General features: G+C 53.2%; 1 protein-coding gene across 9 annotated transcripts, besides 6 other annotated features; it reads left to right on the top strand.

The window, feature by feature from the left end:
• Window positions 12-211: an enhancer, noted in NCBI's record as "active region_1762". NCBI's record gives its function as "activates an Ori minimal core promoter by ATAC-STARR-seq in GM12878 lymphoblastoid cells {active_cell/tissue: GM12878}" and the evidence as "EXISTENCE:reporter gene assay evidence [ECO:0000049][PMID:35858748]".
• Window positions 241-11,178, top strand: CRTC2 (CREB regulated transcription coactivator 2). Of its 9 annotated transcripts, none has more exons than XR_007095721.1 (14): window positions 241-508; window positions 3,687-3,788; window positions 3,864-3,980; window positions 4,537-4,598; window positions 5,247-5,315; window positions 5,484-5,587; window positions 6,019-6,048; window positions 6,203-6,282; window positions 6,407-6,456; window positions 6,591-6,835; window positions 7,187-7,593; window positions 9,469-9,738; window positions 9,953-10,019; window positions 10,209-10,310. XR_007095721.1 is itself a non-coding variant. In NM_181715.3 (14 exons), exons 1-14 carry the CDS (start codon window positions 356-358, stop codon window positions 10,742-10,744), a joined length of 2,082 nt encoding a protein of 693 aa, NP_859066.1. In that variant the 5' UTR covers window positions 241-355; the 3' UTR covers window positions 10,745-11,178. The 9 variants fall into 9 exon arrangements, 8 of the variants coding, with proteins under 8 accessions (NP_859066.1, XP_005245003.1, XP_016856066.1 ...); NM_181715.3 differs by lacking the exon at window positions 9,953-10,019 and adding an exon at window positions 10,524-11,178 and having other exon boundaries at window positions 6,218-6,282; window positions 10,209-10,395; XM_005244946.2 differs by lacking the exon at window positions 9,953-10,019 and adding an exon at window positions 10,524-11,178 and having other exon boundaries at window positions 10,209-10,395.
• Window positions 462-611: a silencer, noted in NCBI's record as "silent region_1347". NCBI's record gives its function as "represses an Ori minimal core promoter by ATAC-STARR-seq in GM12878 lymphoblastoid cells {active_cell/tissue: GM12878}" and the evidence as "EXISTENCE:reporter gene assay evidence [ECO:0000049][PMID:35858748]".
• Window positions 772-821: an enhancer, noted in NCBI's record as "active region_1761". NCBI's record gives its function as "activates an Ori minimal core promoter by ATAC-STARR-seq in GM12878 lymphoblastoid cells {active_cell/tissue: GM12878}" and the evidence as "EXISTENCE:reporter gene assay evidence [ECO:0000049][PMID:35858748]".
• Window positions 832-1,051: an enhancer, noted in NCBI's record as "active region_1760". NCBI's record gives its function as "activates an Ori minimal core promoter by ATAC-STARR-seq in GM12878 lymphoblastoid cells {active_cell/tissue: GM12878}" and the evidence as "EXISTENCE:reporter gene assay evidence [ECO:0000049][PMID:35858748]".
• Window positions 1,112-1,161: an enhancer, noted in NCBI's record as "active region_1759". NCBI's record gives its function as "activates an Ori minimal core promoter by ATAC-STARR-seq in GM12878 lymphoblastoid cells {active_cell/tissue: GM12878}" and the evidence as "EXISTENCE:reporter gene assay evidence [ECO:0000049][PMID:35858748]".
• Window positions 11,564-11,633: an enhancer, noted in NCBI's record as "active region_1758". NCBI's record gives its function as "activates an Ori minimal core promoter by ATAC-STARR-seq in GM12878 lymphoblastoid cells {active_cell/tissue: GM12878}" and the evidence as "EXISTENCE:reporter gene assay evidence [ECO:0000049][PMID:35858748]".

Below are 11,774 nucleotides of genomic sequence, written 5' to 3'. Positions count from 1 at the left end.
TCTCTCCTTTCCGTTCGTAGTCTCAGGGCTAATTTAGAACTACTCTTCCCAGCTTGCACCTCTCAGGGAGTAGCCGAGAGGGTGGAGCCAAGTCCCCAGTTTCCGGAGTCAGCAGGGCTGCTGGGAAGTGGAGTCCGTTTCCTCCTAGTGCTGCGTGACTGGGGATGTGAAGGAGTCTCGTAAACAAACTACAATTCCCGGCGGCCCCCGCGCGCAACAGGTCAGGGCTAGGCTGGGGCCGGGTTCGCGGTGCTCGCTGAGGCGGCGGTGGCTACGGCTGGAGGAGCCGGGCCGAGGCCGCGGCGGAGGCCGCGGCTGGTACTGGGAGGGTGGCAGGGAGGGACGGGGAAGGAAGATGGCGACGTCGGGGGCGAACGGGCCTGGTTCGGCCACGGCCTCGGCTTCCAATCCGCGCAAATTTAGTGAGAAGATTGCGCTGCAGAAGCAGCGTCAGGCCGAGGAGACGGCGGCCTTCGAGGAGGTGATGATGGACATCGGCTCCACCCGGGTGAGGGGCCGCGCCGGGGAGCCGGAGCAGAGCTGAGCAGTTACGGAGCGGAGACCGGAGAGGCGGGGCGGGGGCGGGCGCCGCAGCGAAGGAGGCGGAACAGAGCAGGGGACGCGGGCGCCGCCGTTTGGGAGGCGCAGGTTGAGGGCCGAGGGGCAGGAAGAAGGATTTTGCCGGGGGAGACCGAAACACCGGAGAGGTTCGGGGTGTAGAGGCGACTGGGGGCCGAGTACGTGAGGTGGGAGTGGGCGGAGAGGGGAGATGAAGTCCGGCGGAGGTAGGAGGTGAGTGGTCCTTGTGCATCCCTGACGGAGTCCCCTCGAGGACGCTACTGAAGCATGCCTGGTATTGGGGTATGGCCTGGGAGGAGGGCTGCTTGTCTGTAACCTGGCTCCTCTGAGTTTGTGATCTCCTCCAAACTGGTCCCTCTGCCTTCTGCGCTTTGGTGCCCCCGGGAAAGGGCCCCTTGAGTGGTTTGAACGAGCGGTGCTGTGTATAGTGGGGCAGGAAGTCCCCTCCTGCGTCCCGTCCTTTTGCTTCCTTTTTCAAATACTTCTTGTGGTTTCCTGACGTGAATGAAGGTGAGGTCCATTGCTTGGTGTTTTGTCCTGGCCTCCTTGGAGGAGAGGTAGGGTTTTGAATCCGACAACTGGGTAACCGTCCGACCATAAGTTGTGTGGAACTCTATGGTTTGCTGAGCTTTCTAGGGAGTTGGCTGCTTTGTGGGTTAGTGTGTAGGGTGCCTTGGAGGGTCTTCTATGTGTTGAGAATATTCATTCCTAGGAGTTCTTGAAAGAACTTTCAGGCCTCTGCCAGGCTGCCTCTGAAGCCCCCCTGGCTTGGTTTCTTGCTTTCCAAGGCTGGAGGTCAGAGGGACCAAGGGGTAGGAGTCCGCCTAGGTGGTATGCAGTCTTAATTTAGGGACACATTCTTCTAAAACAACAGTAGGTAAGGATATTGCAATGATTCCTCATGGCAGAGAGCTAGAAGGAATTTAAGGATTGATGGTGGAACATTACTACAACATCTCTAGCCTTTTTCTGCTGGTCTGACTGTGGTTGCATTTATGACTGTGACTCTGGTTGTATTTTTGTGTGTATCCCCCTTGACTCTGTTACTTTTTTTTTTTTCTCGTCCTTTCCCCTTTGAGTCTCTAGGGACTATGTGCCCTAGTTTGTGGGAGTCAGAAGTTAGGTGGGGAGGCAAATCTGGGAGGGTGTCTGTGCACGCATGTGCACACTTAAATGCATGTGTGTGCATAACCCACTGTAACCATTGTGAGGATTATTATCTAACTGTAGACTGCTCCCCTTTAGGAGCTTTTTCATCATGTTGGGGACAGAGACAGGAAGATGGGAGGCTGATCTTGATAGCGTGAGGCCCTGCCCTCAGGACTGTGATTCTAGCAGAGGCATGGTGGGATCTTAGGGCTCGTATGTGCAAAGAAAGGCTGTGCGAAACTCAAAAGCTGGGGCTTCTCTTTACGGTGCCTCGATCTCTTAAAAGGCCCCTTCTACCCACCTTGCTCCTATTGGTTAATTTCTCAGCTACACAGAAAAGTCTAGTGGGCATACATGGCCAGGGGACCCAAAAGTCTAGAGCTAGGGACAAGAGATCTGGGACTCAGCCTGTTATCTGGCCAGGTGGGAGGGCTCATTTGAGACAGAGATGGCCATGGGAGGCTATACCACTGAGATACTGGGGTTGCCATATATGAGACCTCAAGTGGTCTTCAAGTGGTCCAGAGGTCAGCACAGTGCTCACTAGGCTGACCTCCTGGAACAGAATGTCAGTTCTGATGTTGGCTTCTGTACAAGAGTGTGACCCTGGAAGCTCTTAGAACTTGCCCCTCCTCAGCTGCCCTCCTCCCCATGGCCTTGCCCTGGGCCTGTTTATTTGGCTGGTCGCAGGGGCTGAGCCTTGGAAATAGATGCTCACCTCTCACAGAGACAGGATGTCTGTACACAGGCTAAACCCATGCCAGGCTGTCTTACGCCTATGCCAGACATAGCTCCCCAAAGTGAGGATGAGACCAGGAAGATGGCCCTGGCCCATGCTGGAGTGGGCTGCTGCTCTCTGTCCACCCTCCTTCTCCAGGCTTCCCTGCCAATTCAAGAGCCTTAGGATTCAGTGGAAGAATGTCCCTTGGTTTTGGTGCTGTTTTTCCAGCTAGGAGAGCTGCTATTCCTTGGATGTTCTAGTTTGGGAGGTGCAGGCTTTGTGTAGCCTTCCTGAGGCTGGGCAAGTGGCAGAGCCCAGAAGCCTGTGCTCTCCAGAGTGGGAAGGAAAGAGGCTGGCAGTAATGGCTCTGTGACATCCACCTGTGGCCTTCCTCTTAATCTCTCAATTAGTCCTGGACGCATCTGGAAAGAAAGCAGAGGTTCCTAATAGGCACTCCCCCTTGTGAGTAGCCCGGGAGCTCCTGGCAGCCCCTCAGGGACTCTGCTTAGAGTGATGCCAAATGAGACAGGCCCTCAGCAGAGTATCTGTCTCTGCCTGGCAGGATGATGTCAAGCAGTAGTGATATCATTGATGAGGGCAGTCTGCAGATGGGCTCTGGTGGGTTATTTGCACCAAATCTCGGTGGACCTTTCAAACCCCAACACTGGCCTTTTTTTTCTGGCAGATAATTTCTTTATTTTTTTTTTAACTTTTTTTTTTTTGGAGACAGGATCTCAGTCTGTCACCCAGGCGGCTAGAGTGGAGTGACATAAACATGTCTCACTGCAGCCTCTACTTCCTGGGCTGAAGTGATCCTTTTTTTTTTTTTTTTTTTTTGAGACAGAGTCTCTCTCTGTTGCCCAGGCTGCAGTGCAGTGGCACAGTCTCGGCTTACTGCAACCTCCACCTCCCAGGTTCACGCCATTCTCCTGCCTCAGCCTCCCGAGTAACTGGGACTACAGGCGCCCGCCACCACGCCCGGCTAATTTTTTGTATTTTTAGTAGAGACAGGGTTTCACGGTGTTAGCCAGGATGGTGTCGATCTCCTGACCTTGTGATCCGCCTGCCTCGGCCTCCCAAAGTGCTGGGATTACAGGTGTGAGCTACTGTGCCTGGCCTAGATATTTTAAAAGCAGTGGCGGCAGCAGCATATCCTGGTGACAGAGATGGCAAGGATGGCTGAAGGAAATAGTGCTCAGGACCCTCCTGACATTCCCACTTGTTCCCCATGTCTCAGTTACAGGCCCAAAAACTGCGACTGGCATACACAAGGAGCTCTCATTATGGTGGGTCTCTGCCCAATGTTAACCAGATTGGCTCTGGCCTGGCCGAGTTCCAGGTGAGTAGACCCCAGCCAGGGAGGAGTGGAGTTTCTTAGGCTGCTTCCTCTGCTGACTTCTGTCCTTTTTGGCAGAGCCCCCTCCACTCACCTTTGGATTCATCTCGGAGCACTCGGCACCATGGGCTGGTGGAACGGGTGCAGCGAGATCCTCGAAGAATGGTGTCCCCACTTCGCCGATACACCCGCCACATATCCTTCACAGGGGACTTGGGAGTGTCTGAAAGGTAGTGGGATGGGGTTCCTCAGGGACTCATAGGAAGCACTTGAAGTGTTGTGCGTCCCTTCCTTCTCTTGGAGCTCTTCTTTACCCAGCTTCCCTGAAAAGCGACCATAGCCCCTGCGTCAGCACCTGCTCCTGTGACAAGGAGTTTTGCTCCTGAGGCTGTGCCCCCTGTCTCTGGCTGGCTCTGGCTGTCTTCACATCAGCTTGCTGCCAGAGGCAAGCCTTCCTTGTCTCCTGCTAAAGGAGATTGGGTCTCTTCTCAGATTTCTAAGTTTTCAGTCTCAGAGACCTGCATAACTGTCTCCTCCAAGCCCTGCCTGAACATTCTCCTGGATTTTTTCAGCCCCTTTAGACCTGATTCCCTTTTTCTCTTCCATTCTTTGATCCTATTGTTGTCCCTTATAGAAGAGGAGAAAGGTATGAGTTTCTTGAAACAACTTATCTGCTGCCTTCATTGTTCTTTCCTCATTTGGCCTCTCTCATCTGTCCTCTCTACTTTTTTCCTTAACTGGTGCTGTTCACATTGACAGCTCTCCCTATAGTCCTGCCTACTTATCTCCTCCCCCAGAGTCTAGCTGGCGAAGGTAAGTGTCCAGGGCGGGCAGAAGCTCCTGCCTACTCTCTGACGTGTTTCTGGAAGGAGTTGCCCCTTCTGGGTTGGGGCTGGGATTACTGGGCTAAGGTTTCAACAGTACCTCTTCCTATAACGCCAGGGCTGAGAGAGGTGGAGACAGTTGGAGTAGGTGGGTCAGAGTCCAGCCTTGGCCATGTTGACACTAGTGGTCAAGCCTCCCAGTCCAGCCAGAGCAGAACCAATGGGAACCATAGCCAGGCTGGGGTGTGTGTGTAAGGGGGAGGGGAGAATGGCAGAGGGGCAGGTGAAAATGGCAACCTTCTGTCAAGGGTGGGTGCAAGATGTAGTGTTCTGGCACTTTTAGATTTCTTAAACTCTCCCCTTGTCCATCTCACTTTCAATGCTCATACCCAGGAATGCTGCTGGGCTCCAAGATTCCCATTCAGCTGGTCCTGGCAGAGAGAAGTTTCCAGCTCTCTTAGATTGACTGGGGGAGGGGTCAATCATAGGCAGGAGAAGAACCAGAAAGAAAAGGGGATGATCTGGGTGCTCAGCCATCTTTACTTCCACCTTAGCTGCCCCACATTTTCCAACCCCTATGCCCACCTTCTTGTCCACTGCCAGCCTTCCTCCTCATGACTTTGTTTTTCTACCCCAGGACGATGGCCTGGGGCAATTTCCCTGCAGAGAAGGGGCAGTTGTTTCGACTACCATCTGCACTTAACAGGTGATGGCTTTTGCCTTCTTTAGGCCAGATCTCTTATCTGTAGTTTCTGGGGCCCTGCTCCCTCACCCCCACCCTGTTCCAGACCAGCTAGTGTTTTCCCTTGCTGGGCAGGGCTTAGGGACCAGGAAGACTGTCACTGGTGTCAGCTCATTCCTGCTCCCCCCATAGGACAAGCTCTGACTCTGCCCTTCATACAAGTGTGATGAACCCCAGTCCCCAGGATACCTACCCAGGCCCCACACCTCCCAGCATCCTGCCCAGCCGACGTGGGGGTAAGTGGCCCTGTCCCAGGGTTGGGAGTAACCATGGAGCTATTTATTTATTTATTTATTTATTTATTATTTCTTTCTTTTTTGAGACGGAGTCTCACTCTGTCGCCTAGGCTGGAGTGCAGTGGCGTGATCTCGGCTCACTGCAACCTCCGCCCTCCGAGTTCAAGCGATTCTCCTGCCTCAGCCTCCTGAGTAGCTGGGATTACAGGCATCTGCCACTGTGCCTGGCTAATTTTTTGTGTTTTTAGTAGAGATGGGGTTTCACCATCTTGGCCAGGCTGGTCTTGAACTCCTGACCTCGTGATCCACCTGCCTCGGCCTCCCAAAGTGCTGGGATTACAGGCATGAGCCACCATACCCGGCCTCCATGGAGCTATTTAAAGCAGGTAGGCAAGTGAGCACTGCAGCCAATGCCACTGTATCCCTTGCAGGTATTCTGGATGGTGAAATGGACCCCAAAGGTATGTGTTCCTCACTGCTGTGGGTACTGAATGCCAAAGAATTTCTGGGCTGGTGTTGGGATTGTGTGCAGGTTCAGGGAGCAGGACTCCTTCCCACCTGCTTCTGCTTCCTGTCCTGCCTTACTGGCTCTTTCTCCAACTCTCCCATCACCAGTCTTTCTCTTTCAAGTACCTGCTATTGAGGAGAACTTGCTAGATGACAAGCATTTGCTGAAGCCATGGGATGCTAAGAAGGTAGGAGGAGGCCACCGGGTGTCACCCACTAGTCTCTCTGCTATCCCCTTGCCATGGGGCAGGCCTTCCAGGGTTCTCTGCTGAGCACTGTCCTCATTTTCCATATTCTCCCTTCTCTCCTCAGCTATCCTCATCCTCTTCCCGACCTCGGTCCTGTGAAGTCCCTGGAATTAAGTAAGTACTCCCTGAGGTTGGCTGAGAGGTGGGGGAAGGAAGTACAGGGAGATGTAGGAGACTGATCTCTGCTCTTCCCTGACCACTGCACCCACCCTCCTATTTACATCTTTCTTTTTCTCTCCTTCCCCTAGCATCTTTCCATCTCCTGACCAGCCTGCCAATGTGCCTGTCCTCCCACCTGCCATGAACACGGGGGGCTCCCTACCTGACCTCACCAACCTGCACTTTCCCCCACCACTGCCCACCCCCCTGGACCCTGAAGAGACAGCCTACCCTAGCCTGAGTGGGGGCAACAGTACCTCCAATTTGACCCACACCATGACTCACCTGGGCATCAGCAGGGGCATGGGCCTGGGCCCAGGCTATGATGCACCAGGTGAGTGACTGTCCTGGCCATGTGCCCACTGGGTGCTGCCTGACTGGAGGGATGAAGGGGAGGTAGGTTTGAGCACCTGAGATCCTGCTGTGATCACCCACACCGCCTGTCACCTCTGCACCCCAGGATTCCCTCACGGCAGTTCTCAGCCAGTGATAACTGGTAGGTGTGGTGTTTCCTAGAAAGAAGAGGAAGGGCAGTCCCCAGATGGGCAGTGCTGTCAGGGATAGAGTAGGGAGGACGTTGTGTTGCCGCTTTCATAGTCTGGTCACTGCCACCCATTCTGGGTGGAAAGGGGCTCAGTTCCCATCAGTAATGTTGGCATCTCTGGTTTTTTGTCTGTGCCTGCAGGACTTCATTCACCTCTCAGCCACCCATCCCTGCAGTCCTCCCTAAGCAATCCCAACCTCCAGGCTTCCCTGAGCAGTCCTCAGCCCCAGCTTCAGGGCTCCCACAGCCACCCCTCTCTGCCTGCCTCCTCCTTGGCCCGCCATGTACTGCCCACCACCTCCCTGGGCCACCCCTCACTCAGTGCTCCGGCTCTCTCCTCCTCCTCTTCCTCCTCCTCCACTTCATCTCCTGTTTTGGGCGCCCCCTCTTACCCTGCTTCTACCCCTGGGGCCTCCCCCCACCACCGCCGTGTGCCCCTCAGCCCCCTGAGTTTGCTCGCGGGCCCAGCCGACGCCAGAAGGTCCCAACAGCAGCTGCCCAAACAGTTTTCGCCAACAATGTCACCCACCTTGTCTTCCATCACTCAGGTATGCGTGGCTGCCTTCCCTGCATGTCTGTCTCCCTTCCCTTTTCTCCTGCCATGTTGTTTCCCTCCCACCCTCCTTTCCTGAAATACCTACTCTATACTCATCCCCTTCCATTCCTCTGTCCTCCGCCTGCCCCATCTTTTATCCATCTTGTCTCCTCTTGCTTCACAGTGCAAACCCAAACGCTGTGGTTAAGCTTTTTTAGCTTCAAACCCTGGCTCCACCTCTTACTAGCAGTCACCTTGGACAAGTTATTTAATTTCTATAAGCCTCAGTATTTTCATTTCTAAAACAAGGATGGTTCATAAGGATCAAATGAAGTAACATACATAAAATACTTAGCACCACACATAGCCCAGGTATGCTTGACAAATAGTAGCTTACCCTTTCCTTTTATTTGCCTCCTCTGTTCCTGTCTGTTTTATATCTGTCTTTTATCTCATGCCTCTATCTTGTCCCGTCTCCTCCCCTGTATCCCCTCCTAATTTCATAGAATTCGTAGAATCAGTCAATTTCCTACTGTGGAGCCCAATTCCTTCACTTAATAGATGAGGAAAGTGGGACCTAGAGGGAAAGTGACTTTTCCAAGTTTACCCAGCAAGTTAGGAAGAGTTGAGACTAGAACTCGAAGCTCTTAGTTTAGGGCTTTTTCCACAGAGATGAAATTCTTAGCCCTTGTCTCCCTTCCTGTCCTTTTCTTCTTGTTCTCTATCTCTACTCCTCTTTTCTTTCATCCAAATGCTCTTTTCCCTCTCCTCTGCCCAACTTTTCCTCCTCCATTGCTATCCCTGGAATGTGTGTTCTGTGTTCCATCTTTACTCAGGTCCCCTCTTTTGTAGGAAAGACTGAGGCCAGATTAGCAAGGGCTCTGTTCCCAGAGTGTGGAGTGAGCTTGACTTCCCTTCCTTTCTTTCTCCTTTTCTTTCTTTCTTTTCCCACCCCCTCTGGCCTCTTCAAGGCTGTAGAACAGCAGTTCTCAACCTTAGTTCCTTATTTACTAACAATAAATAGTTCAAGTATCAAGATTTAAGAATGGTTTACTTCTAAGGCTAGGCACAGTGGCTTATGCCTGTAATCCCAGCACTTTGGGAGGCCAAGGCGGGAGTTCAAAACTAGCCTGGTCAATATGGTGAGACCCAGTCTCTACAACAAATAAAAAATTACCCAGGTGCAGTCGCGCACGCTTGTAGTCCTGGCTACTGGGGAGGCTGAGATGGGAGGATCACTTGAACCAGGAAGGTTGATGCTACAGTTCCAACTATGATTGCACCACTGTACTCCAGCCTGGGCAACAGAGTGAGGCCCTGTCTCAAAAAAAGAGAATAGTTTACTTCTGGAGTAGATTTAAAATTACCCCTGTGTTAGCCTCACTATATCACTTTCATTCTGATAGGCACTTTTTTTTTTTTGGAGACGGAGTCTCGCTCTGTTGCCCAGGCTGAAGTGCAGTGGTGTGATCTTGGCTCACTGCAACCTCCCACTTCCTGGGTTCAAGCAATTCTCCTGTCTCAGCCACCCGAATAGCTGGGACTACAGACGCCTGCTACCATGCCCAGCTAATTTTTATATTTTTAGTAGAGACGGGGTTTCACCATGTTGGCCAGGCTGGTCTCGAACTCCTGACCTCAGGTGATCCACCTGCCTTGGGCCTCCCAAAGTGCTGGGATTACAGGCATGAGCCACCACACCCTGCCAACTAATACACATCCCTGGGGTTGAGTAACTGCACTCAACCCCAGGGATGCCCGTGAGAATGTGGAATGTTGTCATGTTTGTTTTGGGAATGGTTGTAGCTAAAGAAGGTGGGAAGCTCTGACTGAGAGTTCTTGGGGTATACACTGAGCAGTAAGCTTCCCTCTTTTTACTTCTTTTCAGGGCGTCCCCCTGGATACCAGTAAACTGTCCACTGACCAGCGGTTACCCCCATACCCATACAGCTCCCCAAGTCTGGTTCTGCCTACCCAGCCCCACACCCCAAAGTCTCTACAGCAGCCAGGGCTGCCCTCTCAGTCTTGTTCAGTGCAGTCCTCAGGTGGGCAGCCCCCAGGCAGGCAGTCTCATTATGGGACACCGTACCCACCTGGGCCCAGTGGGCATGGGCAACAGTCTTACCACCGGCCAATGAGTGACTTCAACCTGGGGAATGTGAGTACTCAGGCTCCTTGCTCAAAAGCAGGGGAGTGGGTGAGGGTGGGTCAATGGGGCCTGAATGGCATGGCTGGTGCACTGTGAATGGGGAGATCTAGGTGGGGTGGGTGGTGGGGAGATCTCCTCTCCCCGGAGGTAACATAGCACTGCCAGCTTGGGGCTCCTCTCTTCCTGCGTTTGACCCTACTCCTGCCCCTCTATTTCTGCTCAGCTTGCTCTTTGATGACTTCTGCCTTGACCCGTTCTCTTCCTGGCATGCACATGCTCTGGCCCAGCAGGTACGGTGCCCATACTTACTTCGGGCCCCGTGCTCGCTTCTGTCGCTCTGCTTGCTGCCACCTCCCTCTGTCATTGCCTCTGTTCCTGGGGTGGATGAAGGTTGCTGGGCAAAGGGGATATGTTAGCAGGGCTAGGCAGGACACCAGTTCTAAATCCTACTTCCTAAAGATTTGTCTGTATGTCTATAGCTGGAGCAGTTCAGCATGGAGAGCCCATCAGCCAGCCTGGTGCTGGATCCCCCTGGCTTTTCTGAAGGGCCTGGATTTTTAGGGGGTGAGGGGCCAATGGGTGGCCCCCAGGATCCCCACACCTTCAACCACCAGAACTTGACCCACTGTTCCCGCCATGGCTCAGGGCCTAACATCATCCTCACAGGTGAATGGGGGTGGGTGGTGATGGGAAATGGAAGGAGGAAGTGACACATTCACTAATGAGTAGGAGATTGAGGGGTCTTGGAAAAGTTTACAGGACATGGGGTCCTCACCTGTCTCTTCTACCCACAGGGGACTCCTCTCCAGGTTTCTCTAAGGAGATTGCAGCAGCCCTGGCCGGAGTGCCTGGCTTTGAGGTGTCAGCAGCTGGATTGGAGCTAGGGCTTGGGCTAGAAGATGAGCTGCGCATGGAGCCACTGGGCCTGGAAGGGCTAAACATGCTGAGTGACCCCTGTGCCCTGCTGCCTGATCCTGCTGTGGAGGAGTCATTCCGCAGTGACCGGCTCCAATGAGGGCACCTCATCACCATCCCTCTTCTTGGCCCCATCCCCCACCACCATTCCTTTCCTCCCTTCCCCCTGGCAGGTAGAGACTCTACTCTCTGTCCCCAGATCCTCTTTCTAGCATGAATGAAGGATGCCAAGAATGAGAAAAAGCAAGGGGTTTGTCCAGGTGGCCCCTGAATTCTGCGCAAGGGATGGGCCTGGGGGAACTCAAGGGAGGGCCTAAAGCACTTGTAACTTTGAACCGTCTGTCTGGAGGTCAGAGCCTGTTGGAAAGCAGGGGTAGAGGGGAGCCCTGGAAGCAGGGCTTTTCCGGATGCCTAGGGGTGGGCAGTGCCAGCCCCTCCTCACCACTCTTCCCCTTGCAGTGGAGGAGAGAGCCAGAGTGGATACTATTTTTTATTAAATATATTATTATATGTTAATAAAAAAATCATATCAAACCCTTGGTGTGGTTAGTTATTTGGGGCATGGCTGGGGATCTAGGGAGTTATAGGGCCATGGGTCTTTTTATCTATTAGGCTTTTTGCATCTTCTTAGCACCACTGTGCTTTGTGGAAGGGCCCCACAGCCTCGGAATTTGTACCCAGCTGGATGTAGGCTTCCACGGCAGCAGGAAATCACTTCATGTGCCCTCCTGTCTGTCCAGGGCCCTGCTGCAGCATCAGATGGGGGCTTTGACTGATCAGACAAGTTATTCCTCTTCCTCAACCCTAGGTCTGGCAGTGAGTCGGGTAAGGAGGTGATTGCTGGCTGAGCCCACAGGTCTGAAGTGCTCCTAGGTCTCAGGGAAGCAAGCCTTCATCCTCACTCCCTCACTATGCATGCATTCACTTCACCCTCTCCACTCTTCACCACTCATTCATTTTAGTTTTAATTAAACAGATCCTTCAGTGCCATGCATGTTCTGAAGGTTTTCTCTTTCTGGATTGGGTTGCCAGCCCTTGGACCAGCCGTGTGGGCCTCTGCACCCCTCACTCCCCCAACCCGCATAGTGAGAAAAGTAGAGCCCCGCAGTTACCTTACCCCCACCTCCACT

Source organism: Homo sapiens, chromosome 1 (assembly GCF_000001405.40).
Source record: "Homo sapiens chromosome 1, GRCh38.p14 Primary Assembly".
NCBI lineage: Eukaryota > Metazoa > Chordata > Mammalia > Primates > Hominidae > Homo > Homo sapiens.
This window is presented reverse-complemented; position numbering and strand designations above follow the sequence as displayed.